This window comes from Homo sapiens, chromosome 12 (genome assembly GCF_000001405.40).
Source record: "Homo sapiens chromosome 12, GRCh38.p14 Primary Assembly".
Taxonomy (NCBI): domain Eukaryota; kingdom Metazoa; phylum Chordata; class Mammalia; order Primates; family Hominidae; genus Homo; species Homo sapiens.
This window is the reverse complement of record NC_000012.12, coordinates 79414327-79439034: the sequence shown is the minus strand read 5'-3', so window position 1 is coordinate 79439034 and position 24708 is coordinate 79414327. Positions and strand designations below refer to the sequence as shown.

General features: G+C 38.5%; 1 protein-coding gene and 1 non-coding gene across 17 annotated transcripts in view; both read right to left on the bottom strand.

Moving 5' to 3' along the window:
* SYT1 (synaptotagmin 1) overlaps positions 1–24708 on the bottom strand; it is a 588027-nt gene that overhangs the window by 12974 nt on the left and 550345 nt on the right. The window lies entirely within an intron of this gene.
* MIR1252 (microRNA 1252) lies at positions 19714–19778 on the bottom strand. The gene has a single exon (NR_031700.1). It is a non-coding gene; the product is annotated as a microRNA 1252 (primary transcript).

Here is a 24708-nt window from a genome sequence, read left to right as displayed (position 1 = left end):
GTAGTATGTATTGGTTGTTGGAGTGAGGTAATATCCATACCTCTTCCCTTACTTTTTCTCGTGACTCCTTTCTACTCTGAGAAAACTCTATACTGTCTGTTTTCTTCTTTCTGGTTTCCACTTAGCTGTAAAACTACCCTGCACCCCAAACTCTTTCCTATTCAGAATGAGGAATAGGAAGTCACTGTGTTAAAGCTACGGGGATATGACTTACCAAATCAAATCAAATTGTTCCTCAGCTCCAAGACAGTGGAGACCTAGAACACTGACTATGCCATGTGAGAGGGAAGCAGAGGATCCTAGCATGGTGACCAGATGACTACTTTGGTCTCACTAGCTATTTTCAAGGAAGAGGATATAGACCTTGTTTGACTGGTTTTGTAATTACTTGATCAGCTCCAGTCTATGAGCAACTCTAAAGATGAACTAGCAATTCTACAACTCTGCCAAATGGGCAGCCCCTTCTGAATACAATTCATGGGGCAGACACCTGCGGCCTGGTGCCATTCTTTTTTGTTCATTTAGTCCTATTCTGGCATAAACTTTGAGTGAAACATAGATCTCTCATATTAATTGGTAGGAGTTTCATTTCTGAAGGGTTCCTTCCAGCAATCAGTACCTAGCACGTTGATCTAGCCCTGATGCTCCAATATCTAGCTCTAGGTGGCATGAACTATCACCTCCACCTAGTCCTTCAGGCATGGCATTCCATCCTACTTGCCTCCATCAGTATATCCTGGATACAATGAATCTGCCATCTTTTTTTTGGCCAGGGAGTAAGAGGAGATGATATATGATATACAGGCATATATGGCATATGAGATATGCCTCTGTTTCCTTACTGTTCCAATTACTGTCCTTCTCCATCACCTACCATGCTATACAAAGGCTTGGTTGGTTTGATGACTTCAACTGCCTGGATGGAATAGAAATAAGGAAGTAGGATGTGGATCAAAAGACACCCCAGAAATTCTCTCTTTTCCAGATAATTCCTGATCCCACCTTTGCTGGCGTTTCCACAGTACCCTTCCTGCGAAACTCTCCTTTGCTCTCTTCTTTTTCTCTCTTTGAGCATGAGATGATCCTCCTTTATTCTCTCCCATCCCTTCCTCTGCCCCAAGATGTTCAAGGGCATGTTTTTATGAGTATATCAGATTTGACATTATTTTAACACATGTTTGATAGGATTTTTCTCTGCACCCCTTTTCTCAGACACTCTACAATGCAACCTATGCTTCCAATATTATTGCTACCTCTGTTAAACAAAATTTCTGACCACAGAATCTGGCACTGGAATGCAATGTCTTCACCAACACTGGTGTTAGAGGCACAGTTTCAACATGTGGAGCTATATCCCAAACAAATAATATAAAGTAAACTTGGAGGAAGACTGGAACTAGGTACAAAATTCAGTAAGTGATTTTTCTCCAATTATAGGGACCCCAATGGGCAAGCTTTGCAGAAATGTAAATGTAGCCCATATGCTATACGATAAGGCCATGACCACCTTAACTCTTCTCTTATCCTGCAGACAGATACCTACTGAGCTCATTCCTTTCCTTTTAAGCCTATCCTTGTGCCATGATTCCAACCTCGTAGACCTAAAAATTTGGAGCCATATTTGATTCTTTCTTCTCTACCTCCCATGCCAATTTACCTTCACGTTGTTTCTCTGGTGATTTCTCTCTTTCTAACCCACTGCCATGTCTCAAGATCAGAAATCCAATTCTCTTGCAGTAATGTCCTCAATTTCAAAGCATTCTTCATGTAATTATTAAAGCTATATTTGATCATACTATCCTCCTCATTAAAACTCTTTAGTGGCTTGTGGACTAAAAAAATCCAAACTCCACCATACATTCACAGCCCCGTCCTAACTTATTGTCATATCTCCATAAACCTTATGCTGTACTCATGGTAGGCACTTACTATTCCTCATGGAGAATTTTAAATACTGTGTCTTTGAACTGGCCGTCCTTCACCCTGAAAGGCCCTTTCTCTCTTTCCTCATCTAAAGCTTAGTTTAAAAGTCACCACTTCCCTGAAGATTTTACTAATGATTTCCTCAGTCTGAACCTTCAGACAAATCTTCCTTTGCCCTGCAGCATTTTCTTCTGTACTACCGTAAAGTACATGTCTCTTTCTTTTCTGGTATTGGAGGACTCCTGTGCTAATCTAATAACTTAAAAAAATAAGATTCCTATGGCAAAATATGTTTTGAATTCAGAACTGTTGGCTTCGAGATGAACTTTGGAAAGGCCATTCACTTCTAAAATCAGAGCTTCCACCATCACTATTCCATACCCTACTTCAATACACTAGAATGTTATCACCACCCCCCTCTTCTCAGGCAGTTCTAATCTCAAATTATGCTAACTTCATAGAAATATAATTGCCAAACAGCTGGCTGTAAGCAATGATCCTTTTGTGTGAGATATAAGGGAGCCACTAAACGCTTTTTGTATTTACAATGAGAACTAGAAAGTAGCAGTTCAAAGCCAAATAATGCAAGATGCCTGCAGTTTTCATTTTGGTAATTTAGCATAATTATATTGCCTTTTTTCTTAACTACTACAGTGACCGTGGGCTCCTGTGACCATGGCCTTTCCGTTTCTACCATATTTCTCTTGATAAGAAACAGCCTCATTTCTGCTGTTTTGTTCAATCCCTTCTCAGCCAGTACCCAGCTTCTGAGTATCTTCAGGTATTATTCCTTTTATCCTTTTTTCTTTGGATAATGTTCACTATTTTCAACTTACAGTGTTGGATAAAGATAATAATACTGGTATCAATTAGGGCTCTGAACTTCAAGTGACCGAAAAACCTATTCCAAATTGTTTAAATTGTAAAGGTAACTTACTGGCTAATATGATAGAAAGCTTCAAAAGTACAGCTGTGTGGAAGAGATTTTGAATTGTCCCCTAAAATTCATTTTCCCTAATTTTTTAGCAATAGAGCCCCTGAAATTGTACCTGGGCAAAAGTTCACCCAGCTAGAAATATTTCTCCCAGACTGTCTTATGACTCAGTGTGTCCACATGTTATCTTCTGACTCTTACAGGGAAGTGATATGTATAACTTCCATAGATATCCTTAAAGCAGGGGTTCTCAGCGGGGGGCTGTTTTCCCTCCCAGACAGCTGGCAATGTCTGAGACATTTTTGATTGTCATTACTAGGAGAGAGGGAGGGATGCTATAGGCATTAGGCACTAGAGGCCAGGGATTCTGCTAAACATACAATATACAAGACAACCCCAAACAGAAAATAATTACCAGGCCCAAAATGTCAATAGAGCTTAGATTGATAAGCCCTGCATTAGAAGAAGCTTCTTGCCCTCCACTATTCCTTTCTTTTTTCTTGTAACTGAAACAAGGCTGTGATGGGAGGGTGGTGAAGCATCACTGGCTTTGCAACATGAAGACAATACCCTAGCAGGACAGCAGAACAACAAGATAGGAAGATCCTGGGTCCCTAACTGACCCCATGACCCCAAACTGCCTATCACTCTTGGCCAGCCATATAGTTATGAGGTAGATAGACAGAGACGTAAGGAAAATAAAAAGTTTAGCAGGGTGCAGTGGCTCACTCCTGTAGTCCCAGCTCTTAGGGAGGCAGAGGTGGGAGGATAGCTTGAGCCCAGAAGTTCGAGATCTGCCTGGGCAATATAGCAAGACCCCATTCTCCACTAAAAGGAAAACAAAAGACAAAAAAAGAATCTAAAAAGGAAATTTTATCTTTTTCAGTCCCTGTATTTTAGAATCTCTTTGTTACAGCAGTTTGGTCTGTTCCCTATCTAACATAAATCCAACAGTATCAGCAAGGTCCCAGCCATTGCTTTCCAGCCATTCTAGGCTTTCCTCTTATGGATGCAAATGACTGCACCAGCTACAAGTCTTATATCATCACACTATACCACCCAAGGGAAAAGACAGTCTACATCCAGAATTCCCAGGGCAAGTCCTAAGTGTATTCTGATTGGACTAACATAGATGAAATGCTTATTCTATATTAATCCCTGTGTCTAAAAGAATGTGATGAGCTAGGTTGAGTTATGTGTCTATCTTTAAATCATTAGGAAGGCCAGGTAGACCTACCTTTGGAATTGGGGGTAAGCTCAATTTTATTCTAAGCACAAGGCTAGAGTAGGATAGGGTGGTTCCTCAAGCAGAAGCCAGAAGTCTCTACCTAAAAGAAGGCAGGATGGAAGGTGGGCGGCAACCAACCAATATTTATAGTTTCTCAACCTAGAGTCACTAGAACACCATCTCTGCCTAAACTTGTGTGTGCCTGCACTTATTTGCAGAGAGACATCTTCCTCCCACATTAGATCAAATCCCTAGGAATGAGCCATCAGGCACTTGTATAAGTGGTCCAGTAGTAACAGAGACAGAGTTAAACCATAATAAATTTAACATTCAGAGTTTCTTTGCCAACTGCAAGTTTTCTTGTTCACTTATTAAGCCTTAGTTCATCAGTAAGCCAATCATTTAATACTATACAAATAATTAAGTATTAATAGGGCTCACAGAGCAAACAATTTCTGTTTCTACCACTGGCAGTTTCAACACATTTACTTGAGGGGGTCTTTATAAATAATTTACAAGTACTTAGAGAAGACTACATTAAAGCATTTAAGTGTCTTTATAGTTTAAAATGTCTATATAGAATAAAATACTCCCTGTAATGCTGTTGAAAGGATGCAGCATTAAAAATATATTTGGGGAAAATTTTCTGTGTAAACACACAATTTAAAAATGAATTTACATTAGTTAAGTGCAGGGTTTGCTAGAAGAAAACAACATTATGCAAGTGACTACCACAGAGAAAATCAACTCCATTTTAATGAGACAGATCATAAAATAGCAAAGGCTGATTTAGTTCATTAATGGTGGCAGAGGAGTGCTTTGAAACAGATAAAAAACATAAATGCAAACTGTTGTTATTATGAATTAAATGAAAAGCATTTTTCTTAGTGGTGGGGGAAACCATTGAATTCCAACAGTCATTTCCAACATTGGCAAATGGACAGCATGTGACTGCCAGCTTCTTGACTAAAAATGTAGGGATGCATATACAAAAGCTGGAAAACAAGGATATGGCAAAGAAAGAATTCTCAGGTGGGGCATGGTTATGGGCAGTTGACATATCAGTGTGAGGGTTGGAGCACCACCCTTAGTAGAGGGGCAAGTACAATACGTTTGTATAATCTGGATGTTTTTTGTTCAGATTTTATGGTGAAATTCTTCATGTATAATTCAAGCCTGTTTCTCCTTTTCTTTGGAAAATCTTTCAGGAAGGGTAAACAAGAATGGTAGTAATAATGTCTGATTCTTTCTAGATGACTGCAAAGAGCTTGGTGGAATGACTGAGGATAAACTGTTTGTATGAGCTGACTAACAAACACAGAGACAAAAACAAGTCAAATGATTCAGTAATGCAAACAAAATTACAAGTGGTAAATTTGACTTGATTTTTTTTTTGAGATATAGGTTAAGCCTCTTATTTACGTCAGATGAAAGGTCACTAGCGAGATTTTTCTTTAAAAATAATTCAGCATTTCTAATTGATGAAATAATATCAGTAACACTGTTACTTGGTAACATTGCTGCTAGGATTTTTAATAAATGTACATGTAATATGACAAATTAATGCTACTTCTTATCCACATAGAGAGAGTCCCCAGACAATTTAACATGAGTACAAAATGAAAACAATGTGAGAATAGAGGGTATCTTATACGTCATATGACTACACGGGTTCCTGGTCTTCAGTGGCTTACTCAGGCTCACTCAGTTCTACAATTGGTTTGGCCAGAATCAATTTTACTTTCATTAACTCTCTATTCCTTGAACGCACTTGCTTTAAGATATCTGCATGTTTTTTAAACATTCTGCCATCTAAGAATTAGGCAGTGTATGGACTGAGATAATCTTAGGATAACTGAGGGAGACCTGGAAATGCTTCTAAAAAGTGAAAAAAATCACTCTCATTTCCTCATTTTGAACTATTTCTAGTACTTTTCAAAGTTTTTGAGTATATTTCCTAGGGGGTTGGGTAATGCTTCTAAGTTTTCTTAGCTGAAAACGTCTCAGTGCTTCTTTCTCTGCTTAAAAAAGAAAATAGGGCTGGGCATGGTGGCTCACACCTGTAATCCCAGCACTTTGGGAGGCCGAGATGGGCGGATCATGAGGTCAAGAGTTCGAAACCAGCCTGGCCAACATGGTGAAACTCTGTCTCTACTAAGAATACAAAAATTAGCCGGGTGTGGTTGTACACGCCTGTAATCCCAGCTACTCAGGAGGCTGGCCCAGGAGAATTGCTTGAACCTGGGAGGTGGAGGTTGCAGTGAGCTGAGATTGTGCCACTGCACTCCAGCCTGGGTGACAGAACAAGACTCCCTCTGGAAAAAAAAGAAAAGAAACTTATTTTTTTAAGGGAGTTTCTTTCCCTGTGCTACCCCCTTCCTAACCTTAAGTGACTTTGTTGAGCCTATGGACTTGGAAGAGGATGAACAATGCAGTTGTTTTCTCCCATTAGAAAAAGTGATAATGTTCAAGGACAGAAAACCAAAAACCGCATGTTCTCACTCATAGGTGGGAATTGAACAATGAGAACACACGGACACAGGAAGGGGAACATCACACACCGGGGCCTCTTGTGGGGTTGGGGGGCAGGGGGAGGGATAGCATTAGGAAAAATACCTAATGTAAATGACGAGTTAATGGGTGCAGCAAACCAACATGGCACATGTATACATATGTAACAAACCTGCAGGTTGTGCACATGTACCCTAGAACTTAAAGTATAATAATTAAAAAAAAAAAGAAAAAATGACAATTTTTTTAAGATCTATAATATCTGGTTTGAAATTTTATAGTATTAATAATGTAGGCCCTTTTTTAAAAAGAGAAACCTTGAACATGTTAGTTGGTTTATTATTAAATTTTTATATTTGAATGTTGATTTTCCTTATCCTTCCAGAGAGATATTTCATTTTAATTCATTGATGACCAAATGTGATTCTCTTTCATAAAGCTGCAAAATTCTGTTTAAAATCAGTTTGCATACTGCACATCAAGGAGATAAATAGCTTTGAGGGAGAGATCAACTTCTACCTTGGTAATCTAGTTTTCTTACAATATTAGAAGGAGAAAATAAAAATAAACTATGGGGCCAGGCATGGTGGCTCAAGGGCCAGTCATGGTGGCTCATGCCTGTAATCCCAGCACTTTGGGATGCCGAGGCAGGGGGATCACCTGAGGTCAGGAGTTCGAGACCAGCCTGACCAACATGGTGAAACCCCGTCTGTACTAAAAATACAAAATTAGCTAGGTGTGGTGGCACATGCCTGTAATCCCAGCTACTTGGGAGGCTGAGGCAGAATAATCGCTTGAACCCAGGAGGCAGAGGTTGCAGTGAGCCAAGATTGTGCCATTGCACTCCAACTCCAGCCTGGGCAACAAGAGTGAAACTCCATCTCAATAAATAAATAAATAAATAAATAAATAAATAAATAAATAATAAAATAAAATAAAATAAACTATGGCTTTAATATTATACCATATATAGGAAAATGACATGGAGTAATATAATTCTGTGCTGATTCCACAGACTTTTATGAAGCAAATTTGTGATTAAAGTCAATCACCACACATTCGTATTTCAGATCTCAGTAAAAAATACAATAATATTTTGTATACACTGATTTCCTTGACAAAAGAAATTTCTTGACATACACTGCTCTGTCTCTGAGAAGTGAGAGTGGGGGTATTAGTTAAATTTCTTATATAGAAAATTTGGTTTCTATGAAAAGTTTTAATTCTTTGCAAGATTCTAGCACCACATACTAAATAGTCATGGAGATGATCCAGAGGAACAAATGCTAGGACTGTCTTGTTTTCCCCAGATTTTCTAGAATTGTGGGCATTCTGCCAGGCTGACATCTTTCACCTTGATAACTTCGGATGTAAGACAACTTAAATGGTGATTCCAGTTTTCTTGATATTTTCTCTTAACTTTGTGGTACAGAATTCATTCATTCATTTATTCACTCACTCACTGAGTGTCTGTTATGTGCCAGGTATTTATCTTTCAGCCAGTGTCTTGTTCAACTCTGTATCCCCATGCTTGACACAGAGCCTGGCACATGGTGGGAATCCAGTCAATATTTGCTAGATACCTGAATGAACCAGTTAAGTATAAATACCTACTGAGCGTCTCTTTTGTTGTTGTTGTTTTGTTTAGTCTTGAGACAAGAGTCTTGCTCTGTTGCCCAGGCTGGAGTGCAGTGGCACAATCATGGCTCACTGCTGCCTCAACCTCCGGGCTCAAGTGATCCTCCCACCTCAGCCTCCCAAGTAGCTGGGACTACAGGTGCACACCACAACACCTGGCTAATTCTTTTGATTTTTAGTACAGATGAGATCTTGCTATGTTGCCTAGGCTGGTCTTAAACTCTTGAACTCAAGTGATCCTCCTGCCTCAGCCTCCCAAAGTCCTGGGATTACAGGCATGAGCCACCATGCCCGGCTTTCCTAAGCAACTCTTAGGGGCTGCAAGAGAATGAAGGCATACAGAAAACAGCAGATTCCAATTTGTTCTTCAAAGAACTTATAGTTCAGTTGGGAAGAGAAGACATCAATTCCTAAAAAAGTTATATTTAAATTAGTCCATATTTTTTGTAGTAGGAAAGATAGCCTAAGACCGTGTGTGTTTTCTTGCCAAATGACTTATGTACAGCAATAACTGTGACAGGAACTCAGAGCAGGCAGGCACCTTTCACTCAGCTGGAAATGCTCAATTTGAATTTGAGGCTTTATAGTCAGGGAGTACAAACAAGTTTTACAGCTAGAGAACTAACGTTTTGTTAATTCTAAACATCATCTTTCATGTTTTTTTCTCCTTCCACCTCTACATAGAGATATACAGTTTCATAAGACATACATTCAGTGATATTTGGATAGTGGTATGCTTAGGTAGAGAGGGAAAGAGGTCACTAGAGGGACTGTCTTCCTTTGAACTTACTATTTCCCTTGGCTTTCTCTAGTCTTCCTGTGCATAATGGAAATTCGTGATTAACCTAATGTGATTTTCATAAATAGGAAATCCATATATCTTAAGATGGTTTAAATGAAATGGAATTCTCTGATATGTAGACTTTTGTAAATCACAGGCTCAGACCTCCCTGTTTTACTTGCCCAGATTAACACTACAAATCCAAGTCCATGTGCCATATGTCTAATTGTTAAAAGTTATAAATTAAAAATCCACGAGGTCAGGAGATGAAGACCATCCTGGCTAACACGGTGAAACCCCGTCTCTACTAAAAGTACAAAAAAATTAGCAGGGCGTGGTGGTGGGTGCCTGTAGTCCCAGCTACTCGGGAGGCTGAGGCAGGAGAATGGCGTGAACCCGGGAGGCGGAGCTTGCAGTGAGCCGAGATCGCGTCACTGCACTCCATCCTGGGTGACAGAGTGAGACTCCAGCTCAAAAAACAAAAACAAACAAACAAAAAAATCATAATAAAAATCCAGGCTGGGCATAGTGGTCTGTAATCCCCACAGTTTGGGAGGCCGAGACGGGCGTATCACTTGAGGCCAGAAGTTCAAGACCAGCCTGGTCAACATGGTGAAACCCCATCTCTCTAATAAAAATACAAAAATTTGCCAGGCGTGGTGGCTGGTGCCTGTAGTTCCAGCTATGTGGGAGGCTGAGGCAGGAGAATCGCTTGAACCTAGGAGGTGGAGGTTGCAGTGAGCCAAGATCACACCACTGCACTCCAGCCTGGGCAACAGAGCGAGACTCCGTTTCAAAAACAAAAACAAAAAATCCAACTGTTAACATATGTGATATAGTTTGGATATTTGTCCCCTCCAAATTTCATATTGAAATTTAATCCCCAATGCTGGAGGTGGGTCCCAGTGGGAGGTGTTTTGGTCATGGGGTCATGGGGGTGGATCCCTCATGAATGACTTGGTGTCATCCTATGGTAATGAGTGAGTTCTTGCTCTATCAGTTCCCAAGAAATTTGAGTTTTAAAAAGAGCCTGGCACTTTCCTCCCACTCTCTCTCTTGCACCTTCTCTTGTTGTGTGATTCCTGCTCCCTTTCTTCTACTACAATTGGAAGCTTCCTGAGGTCCTCAGCAGAAGCAGATGCTGGCACTATGCTTCTTGTCCAGCCTATAGAACCATGAGCCAAATAAACCACTTTTCTTTATAAATTACCCAGCCTCAGGTATTCCTTTATAGCAATGCAAGTGGACTAAGGCAATAGGTATTTTCTGTTCTCATATCTTGACAAATAAATGTTAATAATGACCAGAGAATCCAGCTTTACATTTATAATTCTCAGACTGTGGTCCCACAATAGAACCTGGTAGTGTGGGTAAAGTTTATTTCTGGCCCTGTCCCGTCCCCCTCCTCTTCTCACACTAAGCTACAACGTGCATTGCAAGAAGTTTCACATATACATTTGAGGACACTCTGCCTGTATGTACAAGTGCTATTCACCACTGCTCCCTAGCCACCCCTCAGACATGGGGTATGCATCTGTCTTCAGATGGTGCATGCTTGGGGAAAAGACACTTAAAGGCCTCGTGAATCATCATGGGATCATTTTGGTAGGAAACTTTGGGGTCTCAGGTATCCAGAGCATCATCTAGAATACAGAGTTCAGTGTGGCCTCCAGGTGAGTGTATTCTGTTGGACTTGAAGACTCTCCACCCTTTGAGAGTGTAGCTAGGCGAGAACCAGAATAGGGCCCTCTAAACTCTGGGTTCCAGGATAGGGTTCATTCTTTCCCAGGTATAAGGGCTGTGCTGCATATTTCTTCTAATTTTTAAAAGGCTTTGACCAGGCACTGTACCATCCAGTCTTTCCAATTTATCTATGAAGACTTAGTGGCTACCCTGAGAGGTAGGTACTATGACCTCCATTTTACAGATGAGGTACTTAAGACTAAAAGTTATCACTCCACAGTCACACAGTTAATATTAGTTATCACAGAAGTCCTGTGACTTTGAACATTCATTGTAATTCAACATTCATAAGCATTATCAACTTAGATTATACACATTGTGTAAAGAAGGATTAAAACATTGTATAACTCCTTATATTGTTTTTAATCCAGTAATTATACCATAAGTTAAATGCAGACATGTCTGAGCTAGACAAATAGAGCCTGAATGATCTGGCTCCTGCTCTACCTCTCCAGTTTCTTCTCTCAGGACGCTCCCACTTGCTGCCTCCACTCCAGCCTCAGTGACCTTTTAGCCCTTTGAATGTGTTCCACTCCTCATGCCTCATGCCTGGGATGCCTCCTCCTCATGTCCCTTTCCCATACCTCTTCAATTAAGCTCAGCTCCAACATCATTTATTCACGGAAACTCCTTTGACTCCTCATTCTAAAGCAGAGTTTACTTTCATAATTCTTATAAAATGCCAATTCATTCTTTCTATTTGTGTGACTTATAAATGTCTTTTTCCCTCCTAATCTCTAAGCCTCAAAAGACAGGAACCATTTCCGTTTTTATTGTTTTCTTCCCACCATATCTTTAGCACTAGCTGAGAACCTGATGGCACACAGTGGGTCCTCAATGATCACTTCTTTAATGAATACATGGTTTTTGGTTTATTCTCTTAGCATGTTGGAGTGAGGGCGCTAAACCTTATGGGGACTTCTTGGGCACAGGCCCATAAGAATTGTCCCTGGAAATCTTAAATGGCATAATTTACTCACTGAACACTAACATAATGGTGAATGAAACTTGTAAACAGCTGATTTATCCAGCAGTGCCCTCCCTGAGCTTCTCATCAGGAATACCCTAACAGGTACTGTTCCAGATTGGATAGAACATGACAAAAATTATTAGCTGGAATAACTGTAGTGAGTTAATATGTATTAGTCTGTTTTCACACTGCTAATGAAGACATACCTGAGACTGGGTAATTTATAAAGGAAAGAAGTTTAATTGACAGTTCAGCATGGCTTAGGGAGGCCTCAGGAAACTTACAATCATGGCAGAAGGGGAAGCAAATACGTCCTTCTTCACACGGTGGCAGGAAGGAGAATTGTAAGCAGGGGAAATGCCAGATGCTTATAAAACCGTCAGATATCTTGAGACTCACTCACTGTCATGAGGACAGCATGGGGGAAACTCCCCCAATGATTCAATTACCTTCACCTGGTCCCACCCTTGACATGTGGGGATTATGGGGACTGGAATTCAAGATGAGATTTTAGGTGGGGACACAGCCAAACCATATCATAATATATTTACATTAATTAGAAACCTTTTAAAAAATGTTATTAGAAACATAAATATTAACATTCTGTTGTGTGGCTGTACTTTTTTCACTTGGCTTATCATTTTTTTGATAGCTTCCTGGAGTGAGCAGTTCTGCAGGTTATCAATATTAGATTATCGCTATCATACAATATTGCAAGACACATGGGGTGTTAATCATTTGCTTTGGATAGCTAGCAGTTAAGGACATGAATTTTCTTAGAGAAGAGGGAATAAAGCCATGGAATGTTTCTGGAGAAAAGTTATTCCACATCATTCTTCTGAAGATTGTGTTCTATTCACAAAGCAAGTTTATCTAATTAAAGGCTGTGAAATATGTTTTTTTTTTCCTTGAATAATTGCCTGTGGTATGAATAAGGTTAGAACACTCTGCTCTCATTCTTCCCAGTTTAGCTTCAGGGTGGGAAGGATTGCAAGTGCTAAATGCTAAGCACTATCATTTCTAGGAGTGAAGATTAGACAAAGAGGAAATACTCTAAAGCAAGCTCATGATTTGCCTTCCAAATCCATTCAAGAGAGTGCAGAGTGAATTAATTTAGTGGAATTGTTGGGCAGAGTCAGAGTTCTGATTCTGAATCTTGTCTGGAACTATTCTGGGTGATTAGGACTCCAAGTCTGGTTTCAGAAAGGCTATTTTTTTTTTTTTTAATCAAACAGTGCTGGATGTGAATATGATTCAAACAACTCACAACTTTTTACTTAATTTGAAGGCCACTTTAGAGGGAGAGTTAACAATCTTTATTGAATAATTGAATAAGAGAGTAGACATAATATTCTAAGAGGAGCTACCATTTATGGGCTCTGAGTTACATGGAAAAGCTCTCTGTGTCCTTCATGCCTCTTTTAGGAAATGGTATAAATGAGTCAAAGGCCATACGCCAATAAGTATTATTAGTGCTTTGCAGGTAAAACCGTTCCTATACAACTGTGTTAGATGGACAGAAGTCAACATTTTACACTGACTGTGTAGTTGACTACTTAAATATATTGTGCTAGACTCTTTGGAGTTAAAATTTAAGTAAGAACTTGTTAATTAAAATGTCAATGTACTTCTAAAAAATATTGAAAGAGAAGGAGTTATATTTAGTTGAAGAAAATTTTTTCACACTAAGATTTTTATTGGGATTTACATAGCATTCAGACCAGCCTAAGAATATTAGTGAGGTGATTAATATGAATTTGATATTTGCCCTCAGTTCAGAGCAATGTGATTTTGGGCATAAGGACAAGTCTATGGTATAGAAATTGAAAATGGGGCCAAAATTAGTTAATTGACTTAAACCCAAAATGTTCTGTGGAAAACAGACTGCCTGTACATGGTTTAAAAAATGGAGATTCCTAGACTGGAAGGCCATTGTGAACATGAACAGACAAAAATGGAGTTTATCTGGTTAAAGAACTTTTGAAACTTTTGAGGTTATATGAGGGGTCAGGTTTATTAAACATCGATTATCCAGCACTTTGCTAGATGATATGAAATAACAGCAGAAAATATGAACATTCCTGCCATTACCTTAGAAGAAGTGACAGTGGGTGGAAGGATGAGAGTAGAAAAAGGAGTGTGCCTGAAAATACAATAAGAACAAATATAAAAATGCCATAATACACGACCTTCATAGACTGGAAGGAAAATATTAGATCTGTTTGACCTCTTTGGGGTAACATTTGGCTTATATTGTTATTTGCTGCTTCTATGAACATAATAAAGGTTTAATTTTTATCACTGAAATTTTTACAAGTGCAAATTAAATGTCTCAAAAAAAAAAAAAAAAAAAGAAGAAGAAAAATCAAAAGCAAAACAAAACCAAAAAGGGCAGCAGCTGAAAATCAGTCTTTCCTATAAGGAGCAGGGCAATGATTAATGGATAACAAATTTAAAAACTTAAAAAAAAAACAAAACACTAGGTCTGCATACAATCACACACAAAACTATTTTATAGAAAAATGGGAGACCAAACAGAAGTTAAGAGAATATTTCATGACATAATTTTGAGAAAATCAAAATAGTCATCAAGTAGTCATAGTGTGTTTAGGAACTATTAATGGCCAATCAGTTTGTAAAAACCAGTCTTTACCAACCACCTGCCAACCACATTCCAGCAGTCCTTAAAAAGCCTCAAAAAGCAGTGGATGAGCAAGAAAAACTGTACAAATGAAAGAAATGTTAACATTGCTGAGAAATCAATACAGCCATGGCCATGCATTTCAAATTGTAGGAAGAGGACAGATGTCTATATGCTTATGCCTGTTGTTTGTACTACCCTCTCTACTCTTGGCATGCCTAAAGACAACTGGAATTTCACTAAAACCTTTGCAAATACAAATAATGAACAAATCCACACACAGCACACAAACACAATACATCCATGGCATTTGTTTGTAAAGGCACTTTCAGAGAAAGAGCATGATTCATTTGAAAGGCTCTCTCTGTGGTTATTTGTTTTCTGGTGATGCAGAAATTCTTCTAAATAGGTCATCATAATACTGATAATCATCTCCACGGTAACCAGCTTTCAAGGCAACTGGCTGAGGGTTACATTTCTAGATGGGGGAAATTGCATTAGAGGCATGGTAGTGACACAAGAAGCTGTAAGCTAGTGCCATTCGAATTCCCTTATACGTACAGCATTTATCAAATACTCTCTTTATAATCTGAACTAAGTATGACTTGTTTGAGGGACATTTGTAGGTGATGCTTCATCTCATTTTTAGGTAATGCTCCATCTATTAACCTAAATAGAAAAAAGAAATAACCAAATACTTGTTGGTTATTTCAACAAGTATTTGGTTATTTCTTTTTTCTATTTAGGTTAATAGATCCAGGTGCTTAGGCCTTCTAATGCTAACCCAGAGCCGGTATCTTGGGAGATTTCAGGAACAAGTGTTCACTCTCACCTTCCTCTCTCTGCTTGCCTCCATCTGTATAGGTGTTCGGCATATTTAGGAGAGGGACTAGATTTCTGTGGGATTGTGCAATAACATCTCGACCATAACATATCATGAAATTGAAGAATTTTTCTGATAAATGGGTTTCTTAGATCTGAGGCAATCCATTTTGCAGTGTCCAGGGATAAGACTAAGCAATTTCTTAGAACTATTCCACAGTTTAAGTCCTTGAAATGTTTTTTAGCCAAGAGTAAGAGGCTAAGCTGGCAAGGAACCCAACCAAACCACCTCAGCTTTATGTTTTTGTTTTGTTTTGTTGTGTGTATGTGTGTTTGTCTATGTCTTAAAGTACTTACAAAATTCTGAGGGCAGAGCTACTTCACAGCTGTCTTATACTTGCAGACTCTAAGGCTTAATTAGAGTTAAAAGAACTAGTTGAGGCCTCCAGGCTCAGGTGATAGAATGAAAGCAGATTATAGAGTCTCTCTCTTTCTCTTTCTCTCAGAACTAAAAACAAGGGATACCAACAATGAAAACCACTAGCTCCCTCCTTTCTAGTAATAAGTCAGCAATGAAATAAGGAAAAGACTGTAACCTAATAATATGGACATTAAAACAAAACAAAGCATGCATGCACGTGTGCACACATGTGTGGGCGCACAGACACACACACATACAATGCTGGCTCACAAAAGAACAGATCTTGGAGTGGTACAGTGTAGCTTCTAACCCTGAACTCCCTTCCTGCCCCTGGAACCTTACTGGTGAATTACTGAACTCTCAAGACCTCACTATAGTCTTCAGATCTGGAGAGAAACTAACTAAATGACTATCCTTATTTTTCTCATTTTTGTCTGAAGGGTAGTGGATTGGCTATTGGACAGAAGTGGGCTGCTTCTTTCTGACAGAGCATGTATCGGTAAAGATACCACATTGCATATAAACTCATTAGAAAGGGGAATCGTCTCATTTGTTCACACAGCTTACTTCCAGCACCTAGATTAGAATGTGCCTTGCAAAGGAGAGGGGCTCAATAAAAATTTGCTGAATGATTTTAAAAAATCCTAGAGTGTTCCCCTTCAGGATGGATATGTATTCTGATTAAAGAGAGGGATTAAAATGTAGTTCAAAGTATCTAACAAATCCCAGAGAGAGAGAGAGAGAGAGCACGAGCAACCAAAAGTGCAGAGCCCAGGAGTTCTAACTCAGATGTCACACAGCTTCAGCAGAGCTTTCCCTTCCCTCTCTACTCCCTGCACCATTTCCTTAGGCTGCAGTTAAGTGGATGGTATCCAAAATCAAGTTCTTTAACCATAGCTTTGGGGAAAAAAGTTAGAGTCTATGGAAATTGAGTCAATAAGTCACCTATACTAGATAGAACAGAGAAGATCCAGATAAAGCGTTCAGGTATGAGTAAGATGGGGGAAATCAGTGACAAACATCCAAACATGCTAAGGCAATGCTCCCAAATGAAAATAAACAAAACCAATCAACCTTAAAAGAAAGGAACATAGCATGCAAAAGAAAGATGAAACTCCCTCTTTTAAAGAAAACATAGTCCAAAGAACAAAACAAAATTCCTCAGAAGTGCTTTGTACTATGAATCAAGTTAATGAGAACATGAACTCAGAAAAACAAGAGCTCAAAGATGAGTTGACAGAACCCCAGGAAGGTTACAGAACTAAGGAGGCTGAGTACAAAAACAATATTATAGAGTGAATTTTTAAAAGGTGACAGAGCAAGGAACAAAATAAACATGGCTGCAAATAAAATTACCGGCCTCGAGGAATGGCTTGTAAATACAAGGGAACCAAAGGAATTAGAAGGTGACAGATTGGAGTTCAAAAGCACTTAACATGAGGAAATTGATGTCCCTGAAGGAGAAGTTTCAATAAATGGAACAGGAAAAGTATTCACAAATACCACACAAGGAAATTTCACTAAAGAGAAAGAATAACCACATTTATAGATTGAAAGAACATACCATGTTCTAGGAAATACTGGTAACAGAATGCTTAACACAGCCCTGATTGAATACTTACAATTCAAGTATAAAGACATTCCTTGGGAATTTGAGAAAACAAACAAACAAACAAAAACACCCACCACCACCAACAATAAAAAAAAAAAACAGAAAACAAAAAAACAAAAAAAGTGTCACATTGGATAAAGCAAAAATTAGACTGGCTTCAAATGTCTCCATAACAGCATTCAATGCAAGAGCAATATGTATACCAACCAACATGTCAAGACAGATATTCTATCATGAAAGAATTTCAGTCAAGATGACATATAATTGGGTCTTGTGAATTTCTGGCCAGAATGGTTAGTAATGATGGTGTAGCCACCTTTAGAATAGCTATGCTAGCATTTTTCCAAAGTGTGACCTTTGAACTCCAGTGAGGTGTTCCTTGAACAAGGAAACTATGGTCAAACAGTTCAGAAGCACAGACTCTCTAAATGGCGCACCTTAGAAATTTATAAAACACACCAGCATATAAAAGAGTTCAAGACAGTAATGAAAAAGCAGCAGATCTCATTTGGAGGAAGTTTCATCTACCACAATGGATGGGAAAACAATTTAATAACTCAAAATAGCAATCAATTCCAAAACAATTCATATTTATTTTTCTACTTCCTCCTCCCCAAAATAAAATGTTATTATTTATTCATTCATTTATTTTAAAGCAATACGATCTTAAAATCCAGTTCAGGAATAAAAAAAGCAGAGTGGTGTTTTTAGGTCTACTTTGAAAGTACTAACAATAAATTCCCTCCTAAAGCAGCCATGTCAAATCTTTAAGCATGGCTCAATTTCACATCTGCTTTGTTTAAAGGAAAGCATCTTTGTGAAGGTTGCATTCCCACTGTGGAACTCTGGAAGTGGCAGGACTTTAGCTTGGTATTAAACGAGAGAAATTCTAGGAGATGTTCTGAAGCTGAACACTTTTTTTTTCCTTAGGGAACCAGGAACAATGTAACTGAGAAGGCAAAGGAGTAAATATCTTTTATTCTAGAAGAAAAACAATGCTACTACCACTTTGCAATACTTTTTCCTACTTCTCAGTATTTCTCCCATTTACATAAGCATAGTTTTTGATAGTGTGCAATGCCCTTCTATTTAGATTACAAACCACTGCTTTAGAATGGTGGAAGACTACTCTCTACTCACATCATATCTCTCTTGTGCTACTTTGAACTGGAAAAAGTGTTTTAATTCCAGACTGACTTGTTTCTGTTTCCCTACCTCCTCCTTGTCAGAGGACAGAAGTGTGCCAGGAATGTGGAATGAAAAAGCTGGAGGTAACTTTCAGCTTTGAGATAGTGTTATATTGTCTGTCCTTCTAAGATACTGCCCAGAGCTGACTGAGGTGAGAGAGTGGGTTGAAGAGTAACTGAGGTCAAAGGATTTCAACCAGTAAAGAAGGGAGGGACCCATAAACTGGAATGCAGGTATAAGATGCAGCAATTACCAGGATATGCTGCCCTCTTCAGGGTTTTTAAGGGAAAACTCACCAGTTAAAATTGGCTGAACATTTAAAAGTCTAACAGTGCCAACATGGCAAGGATATGAGCAATAGGAAAGCTCACACACTTCTGGTTGGGGTGTTATTTAATACATCTAGGAAATTTAAAAATTGTGCATACCCTACATTCCAGCAATCCCACTCTTATGTAAATATCTAGAAATACTCACCCACATTTGCACAAGGAGCTATGTTGTATTGTCTGTGACAGCAAGAGATTAGAAACAATTCAAAAATCCATTAGCTGACCAACTGGGGTATTTACCTACCATGGCATGTTATACAGCAATAAAAAGTAACAACGTTACTTTAATCAACACAGATACATCCCAAGAATGAAATATGGAGTCAAGTTGCAGAAGGATATATGATACAATTTATATAAAGCTTGAAAATGCACAAAATACATACAGTAAAGTGCCATTTATATGGCTGAAAACATACAAAACCAAAACTGTGTGTGTCATAAAAACATACATTGGAATGACAAACAAAATGAGAAAACAGGGTTGGGAATCATAAATTCAAGGTAACAGTTACCTCTGAGGAGAGAATGAGAGAAAGGAGATAAAGAGGACATAGGCTATTTTGATTATAGATGTTAGGTTTTATTTCTTTAGTGTGATAGGTACAAGAGTCTTCATTATATTATTATTTATACTTACTATTGTAGACCTCAAATATTTCATTAAAAAAATTGAGGTACTCCGAGTCAGATTCAACTAAAATGTATGAAGCACTTGCCATGTAGATAAAGCAGTGCTTTTCCACATTGGGCAGTGTAACAGCCAACACTGGAGAAGTCTATGCTTAGAAATGTAATTGAATCCCATTATCTGGCAACTTCTGCATTGTACCCTCAGATCCTTTGTTAGCCAGTGTGATCCCACCTGACCTGCTGCCGGATACTGTGAGCTTACCACTATGACTGATGAATTCATGGAGAAAGGGTGCAGTGGAAGGAGAAGAAAAGCAAGGTAGATTATTAAGATTTAGAAAAAAGGAAATTAAGCTCATTTGGAATTCTCTTTTCTAAATGAATTCAATTTCCTTCTTTCTACACCTCACATTTTTTCTCAACTTACCAATTTCTCAACAACTGTGTGATGGGAAATGTGAGTAGAAATTTAAAAATTCTTATAGAATCATTAGTCCCTTCTACATAGAGAAAAGGCAAAACTTTCTATTGGTTTCGTTTTGCCTAAAATAAGTAAGACTCAGTGGTCAATTAGTGGGATGTGTAAGCTGAAGTTAGATGTTCACTTCTGAGGCACCTATAGGGGAAGAAGGTACTACCCTCTATCAGTGGTTGTTAACTCTGGCTTCACAGTATAATCACCTGAGTTTTAAAATCTACTGACCCCTTGGCCATTCCCCCAGAAATTCTGAATTAGCTGTTCTGGGGTGGGGCCTCAGGTGTTCATATTTTACAAATATCACTTCCCAGGTGATTCTAACGTGCATACAGCATTGAAAACCACTCTTATCTCTCGGGCTCTGATATACCTGATATTGAACACATTTCAGGGCCATTGGTTACCACGGTTGGAAGAGTTACTGCTGGCCTTTCTTGTCAAGTTCATGACATGATGGGAGAGACCTTGGACAGATGTTTGTTTCCACTAATTGTCTCTCTACTCAGACATCTTTAAGACTTCTTGCCCAAACTCTCTGCTGGAGAATATTCTCTGTGCCTTGGCTCTTTCTTCATTCTTTTGTGCAAGGCCAGGTGTTTTGGAAACAGGCAGGGCTGTGCTATGCAGTGGGGGTGGTGAAGTCACCCACAAGGTCACAAAGATAATTGGTTTACTGTCTAACAGGTTCGGGCTCTTCAAACTCTTGGCCAGCCTCTTGACTTACATGTTGGTTAAAAGAATCATAAATCAATTACTTTTAAGCCTCCCCCTAACCAAAACCCCATTGGAGAGATTGTCAATAACATAAAGAAAAACCACGAATTTGAGAGCTAAAAAGTTAGTGTAACCTTCCATCCAGTGGACATTTTTAACAACACCTTATGAAATGATCATTCGGGCACCAAGTGAAAAATTTTCGCTAATTTCCATGCAAAATACTTCTAGGAAATTCCTATACATCTGGACCAAATGTTAGCGCTGGGACTACAAGGAGCAGCAGTCACTGTTCCAGCCCTTGATGATGGACAAGTGATTACAGGGACAGACCTATAACCAAGTAATTAAATAAGACATGAGACATCTAAGAAGACCTGTACATGTTCTATATACAAGTCATAAACATTAGAAAGAGGACGCTTTGTGTAGATCAGCTTTGCAGGAGAGTTTTTCACAGAGGGAGTAACGGTAGAGTAAGGTTTTTCAGCTTTGTCTTCAATATGTGTTCCCAGCATTGCCTGGGAACTGATTAGAAATGCAGAACATCGGGCCCCATCTTAGGCCCACAGAAGTAAAGTCTTTTTAACAAGATTCTCAGGACATGATATGCAAAAGAAAAACAGAAAAGCACAACTTTAGAGGTTCTCCAGGTTGAAGTGGGGGGTGGGAGTGGGGGGATACTATGATGACAGTTCAGGGAGAGCACTGACACCCACAAAACCTCCCCTGTGTGAATGCATAGTGTTATTACTGCTGGAGCATAGGGTAAATGATGCCATTTACAAGTGATGCCATTTGGAGAGGCAGGCCTGGACCTTGTCATGAAAGGGCTTGCAGAGCATTCTAAGGAATTCGAATTTCATCATGAAGGTAGTGAGAAGCTAATTAAAACCAATTAAATATTTTAAACAGGAGAGAGGCATAATGAGATTTTTGCTTTAGGATGAGGCCATTGGTAGTAACGTCAAGGCAGGAGCCAAGGGGGCTGGGCTTTGAGAGGCTGTTGTCATCAGTAGAGAAGTGGTGAGGGCCTAAACCAAGGCAGGTTGCGGGAAAGGAGGCAGAGGTGGAGATAAGAGAGAGATTTAGGAGGAATGAGCAACAGGGCATATTACTACATGATATTCCACATTTCCTTAAAAATCCTTTTAGAAATACATTGTATGCAATTGGATGAAGAGAAACCAACCACCTGGCCACCTAAGCAATCAACTAGCAAACAGAAAACGCAAACTCTCAATCACCAAATCCTAAATAAAAGTACAATTTAAGAAAATATGATTAGGAGGAAGACACAGGTTTCAATGACAAATTGTAAAAGCAGGGAAGACTAAATGAACATGTTCATTGTTTCTTTGTTTTTTGCTACCTCAAATTTTCAGAGACACTTTTGATAACTGACAATTGATACATGCTTTGCAATTCAGAGTAAGTTACAAATATATCATTGTTAGATATTATAGGAATCTTGAAGAAGAGAAAACACACACACACACATATTAGGATTTTCGTTGTATTTTTGCTATTTATGACTACACAGGGCTTCAGTTTTCTTACTGGCCAAAAAAGAAGCTATTCTTTTATGTTTCCTTGAAAGTGCAATCATTTTTAAGAGTATATTGTACCTTTTATATCTTCTTTCTTTATCAATAGTGTATAATAGAACTTGTTCATCTCAAATTTTCCTTTCAAAGCAGAAATGCATTTCAAATAGTTTGCTGTTTGAAATATTAACATGGCTGATTACTTTTTACTCATTCTTTTAGCAAAAAAATTAGACTTAGCCTTTTCTTTCCATTCTTAGGTTTTAATCAACAATACAAATTATGTATGAGAAGCCTTAGTGTATTATTAGCTGAGTTTTTTAAAAGATATTTGACAAAGCCCAAAACTAAATTACCAATGCTCGCATTTTTCTGAGTCATATTTTTTAATCTTTGAAAAAATAGTGATCATCTGTTATTTTACTACAATAATATGAATATAAACCTAAACTCTATTTAGAAGAGGATCTATACATAAAATGTCAAAATGTTAATGCCAATAAGGTTGTATGTTTCTAAGAAGCATTTGGACATGAAATGAAAATGGCAAAGATGTTCAACTTTTTGTTTTTGCCGTCTGGTCTTGCTGCCATCATTTCCTAAGGGACTTCCAGGCAAATATCTACCATACCTTTTGTTTCATGATCATATGACTGTGATCATGTGACTGTGACACCGTTTCTTATTCAATTCCCTGAACTTGTTTCTCTGCCTTGCCTTGTTTCTTTCTATCTGCATTGCTGTCAGCAGCTCAGACTTGGCCTTCGTGGTTCCCTCTCTCTTATTAGTTTTCTTCTCAATAGAATGTTCTTTGGATTTGAAATGGAACTCCTTTAATAGTAATTTACACTCCCACAAGCTAAAACAAAAATGATTCTCAATGTAAATGGGACTATGCCACTCCACAGTTTAGCTGGATTACTAATGTAAACAGCTTCGTTATCAAAAGCTCAGAGAAAGCTGAACATGTAAAGCCTGGCTTGGATCCTAGTTGCAAATGGGTAGGTAGACTTTGAAACTTAAGCTAGCAGAACTAGTTCTGTGGCCGCATTACTCAGCACTTTCTTTCTACAAGGAAAGCCTTAAGAAAACAACATCCTCTCCCATTAACTGCAAACTGGAAAATTGGCTTAATTTTGGCAACATCTATTAACATTTAAAATGCATATTCCCTTTCAGTCAGGAATTCTGCTTATAGGAATTATGTTATAGGTTCCCTTGCCTAAGTATAAGCTTTGTACAAAGGGATTCAAAATAGTATTGTTTATGAAGGCAAAAACTCTACATATAATCTGCATGTCTACTGTTGGGGAATGATCAATAAATTATGGTCCATTCACTCGAGGGAATCGTAGGCAGCTATTTATGTGCTATCATACAAAAATGTTTAAGTGGTAAAACCAAGGAATTACTTGCTGGGGCTTTACTGTCTCCACTTTCCAGCACATTCCTTTCTTTGATATGAACAATTGATATTCTATTTTACATAAGTGTTTTGCAATGGAGCTTCAAGACCATCTTTCCAACCAGATTGCCCTGGTGGAGTCCCTTTTATACCAGCATTATGGTGCTATCACTACAGCAGTTACATGAAAAAGTAAAATAGTGTGATAATATTTATATATAACATAAATCTATGCTTGCACATGTATGAAAAATTTCTGAAAGGATGCACATGCAACACTTTAACATTGGTTATCTCTTAATGGAAGGACTGGGTAGGGCAGGGGAGAGAGAAACTTTATACTTCTGGTCTGTTTTTACTTCTCTGTCATAAACACATATTACTTTTATAATTTAAACAAACAAACAAATTGTAAATAAGCAAGCAAATAATTCTATATAAATAAATAAATAAAATGGAAAATATATAAAGGAAGAGTTACCTAAATCCTTTGGGTACAGGTAACCTAACAAGGCCCTGCAAAAAAATACAAGTACCTGTGTTTTCTGTGGTGAGCCATGAGACCAGAGATTTGTCTGTTTTGCACATCACTATATTCCTTTTGGAGAAATGGTTTTTTGAGTCCTATTGCCACTTAATTCTTGAGGACCCTGAAAATTATGCTTTACATCTGGCAGGGACAGCAAGTATCACCTCCTCCCAGGAGCCTGTTGTGATTCTTGTAGCCCTCATTCATCTCTGCTTTCTTTCCACTCCTATTACAAAATTTCATTGCCTTAGAGTCAGTGCCTTTCTGCCCTTTATTTATATTAATTGTATTCCTTTTATCTTCAGGCAGTTGATGCCAAGAAGAAAGAGGTCTTCAATTCCATTACAGCTGCTCCCATCATAGTGTTCCCTTTATTACCCTGTAGATCTACTGATAAGGAATACAGGTTTTACTTCTCTAGCAAGATTGCAGGTATAGGACTTCTTTGTGCGATAAAGGAGAGAAGATTACACAGAGTGTGCCAAATTGCATAGACTGGGATCCTCCTGGACAGTAGCTGCAATTCTCCTGGGAGAGCTATGCTTCAGGACAAAGTACCAACTGCTTAGTACAACATACAAGGATCTAATGTGTCCCCACCTGCCAACACACACACATACACACACACAAACACACTCAGAATCCTCATCTGCTGCCA